The sequence below is a fragment of the Homo sapiens genome, chromosome 3 (genome assembly GCF_000001405.40).
Source record: "Homo sapiens chromosome 3, GRCh38.p14 Primary Assembly".
Lineage (NCBI taxonomy): Eukaryota > Metazoa > Chordata > Mammalia > Primates > Hominidae > Homo > Homo sapiens.
The window spans coordinates 79,864,699-79,867,991 of record NC_000003.12 but is presented as its reverse complement, the minus strand read 5'-3'; the positions used below and the strand labels follow the sequence as shown (position 1 = coordinate 79,867,991).

The window sequence follows — 3,293 nt, the reverse complement described above, 5'->3', positions numbered from 1 at the left end:
TCCAAGATATTTCTTGCAAAGAATACCTACATGGAGAAAACACAGCGGGACTGGTGGAAGAAGAAAAAATAATAATAAACAGAAAAGAGTCACCAAAGCCAAAAAAAAAAGGAAAATTTTAAGGAGTAAATTGTAGGCTAATTGGAAAAAAGTAACATATATAAAAAGATGTGTGTATTGGACTAGGAAATGTGAAGCAGCTCCATTAGCATAATGGAGAAGTAATTCTTTTAGTTTACACATAACTTGAGAATACCCAATATGTGCCAGATATTATTATGGGTGTCAGGAATATTTTGGTGGAGAAAAACAATCCATACTTTCTTGACAATTTATGTGAATAAGGCAGATTAAAAAAAATGACAAAGGTGGGAATGACGTTGCCATGTTAGGGGAACCATTATACTTGGGCCGTAGTGAACAAAATGGGAACTGTTTTAAGACAAAGTATAAGACACAATTAAGGGATAGATCACCTAGGGCCTCAAAGGGCATAGCCGCAAAGGATCCAAGATTTTTTCCATGTGCAATAGAAGATTTTAGGGAGTTATAATTATTTTTCTCCATGGGTAAAATCCTATTTGATTTTTATATTGAAGAGATGAGGAAGTGGAGACCACAAGTATTGTCAACCTTCTTAAGATATTGTTTGTGTGGGTATAGCAGTAACTAACACATATTGAGTGCTTACCAAGTGCCAGGCACTATTTTAAGTACTTTACACGTAATTGATTTAATACTCACAATAACCAAATGAGTAGGAGCCTTATTTTCTTGCAGATTAAGAAAGCACAAAGAGAAGATTCAGAATAAAACTGGCATATTTGTGTTAGTTGGTTTTAGGTTTTGTTTTTTAATAGAAATAGAGCTTGTATTTTAATAAAAGTAAAACAAAGAATTTGGACATGAAGGCAAGCAGGTTTATTTCTTTAATGGGAAACTTCTCCTCTAATGGTATCTATTTGCAAAGTATTTCATGAGCTGAGAAAGAAGGAGCAGGGAAGGGTGAGGGTTAAAAATGAGTAGGGTGGGAGAGAGGGATAGCTAGGTTCTGGTAACTGCTGGAAATGTGAGGGTAAACAGTTATCTTTTGTCAAAAGATTATCTTTTACATTTAGATATACAATCTGTCTGGATTAATTTTCTTTTCTGACATGTTGTAAAGTTGGGGTCAGCATTTATTATTTTTCATGTAGAAATGAAATTAACCCTGCACCATTTATTCCAATGATTACCCTTTCCCCACTATGCTGCAGTGTCACCTTCTCCATCATCAATTAATCTTATGTGTGCAGGCATGTTTCTGGACCCTCTACTCTGTTGGTTAGTTGAGAACCTTTGTTTTTTATCAAGATTTTTATTCTATATAATGAAGGCTCAAGTAATACCTGTAGGCATACCCTTGGGACTAGCAGGAATTCTACTAGGGTGAGTTTCAAATATCCACGTATCAAATAGAATGGCCACCCATTAGCTTCTCCAAACATAATATGAACTGGATAGTAATTATTATACTAAGATAGAATTGATCAGTACATAAAACAAATCTTGCATGCCAAAAAGCAATATGCGGAAATGTTCAATTACAGAAATCACAAGATTACTAATCCCTTCAATACCCCATTGCAAATGCACAAACACATAAGAAGTAAGGCTTTTTCAAACAAAGGGATCAACAAAGTAAATATGCATTAAATTAATCTGAGTTTAAAGCCATCAGAAAAATAAACAATACATTACAACACAAATTTTACACAAATTAATACAAAAAATGACCATCTCTTGTTGGTTTTCAAACTATAAAACTGTAAGGAAAATCTTTCATCACTCTCCCCATCTGGAACTATGTCAATAGTCTTTCTTTGATTTTATAGAACTTTATCGCTGAGATTGTAGATCAGATCTTTAATGCAAGTTCTATAAAATCAAAGAAAGACTATTGTGAACAGGTTTTTAAAAATGAGGATAAATGGAGGATCACAGTAAAAATAAACTTTTAGTTCAGCAACATGGTTTTATTAAATGAAACATTTATTTGAGATAGAGACATCAAAGCTTTTGATAAGACGACATGGTGTTTCTTTCTTGCCTAGTCAAGCTTGCTGGAGAGTGGATTTGGAGGGTAAGTGAACTTAACAAGGATCTCTCTCCTCTTCAAAGGTCCTGATCCCAAAGCAAATGTGGACAGTCTCACATATCCTCCATTTCTATTACTGCATTCACCGATGCAGCATAGTATTAGAAAACTGTCCTTTAAATCACTGATTACATAAAATTCACTGCAATTTTAAGCATGATCTTCATTTGACTCTGGGCAATCATTTTATTTAAAATAAACTCTCCTTTTAAAATGAAATTAAGCCTGACAATATGAGAAGGGGTAAAATTAACAACTTTTACTATTGGTTTCCTCTCCCTAAATACCAAATTTCAATCATCTAAAATGAGAGACTCTATGCTAAATATGCTTAAAACACATTCTAGTTCCATATTTCTCTAATATGTAAATATTTTAATAGTAATTGTGAAATGTCTTGTTCCAACGAAAGAGGATAAAGAAAGAACAGACAATGACCTCTCTCCTTATTTCTCATCAACATAGGATTTCTTTTATTTCCTATGTCTGCCTCTGCAGTGAACCCTCAGATCACTTTATCTTTTATTTTATTTTTTTTTTTAATTTTGCTTTTTTTTTTGGAGTTTGAGATAGAGTTTCGCTCTTGTTGCCCAAGCTGGAGTGCAGTGGTGCAATCTTGGCTCACTGCAACCTCTGCCTCCCGGGTTCAAGCGATTCTTCTGCCTCAGTCTCCTGAGTAGCTGGGATTACAGGCACGTGCCACCACACCCGGCTAATTTTTTGTATTTTTAGTAGAGATGGGGTTTCATTATGTTGGCCAGGCTGATCTCAAACTCTTGACCTCAGGTGATCCACCCTCCTTGACCTCCCAAAGTGCAGGGATTATAGGAGTGAGCCACCACGCCCAGCCCCAGATCACTTTAATCAGATATTCTGAATAAGACAGTTATTCAGAAACATAAAAAGCAGAGTATATTACCAGTTTTCTTAACCTCTAGAGATCACTTGACTTCTCTTTTCATAAGTGGAGACCTGAGAGTCAAGGACCATCCCTCCCAAGCCCAGCATCCCATTCTGCTCCTTCATTCTAATCACTTCAATTGAAACTCATTTGTTCATAAAACCCTGTTGTCATATTTCCTAGATGATTTGGAAAGCTTATGTCTGCAAGTATGAGATGATAGAAGAACTCCACAGTTTCTTTTTTTTTTTTTTT

The 3,293-nt window shown here is 35.0% G+C and overlaps 1 annotated feature.

The window, feature by feature from the left end:
• Positions 2,676 to 2,853: a silencer, noted in NCBI's record as "fragment chr3:79914289-79914466 (GRCh37/hg19 assembly coordinates)". NCBI's record gives its function as "represses an EF-1alpha promoter that drives an FKBP-Casp9 reporter gene in an ReSE screen in K562 erythroleukemia cells {active_cell/tissue: K562}" and the evidence as "EXISTENCE:reporter gene assay evidence [ECO:0000049][PMID:32094911]".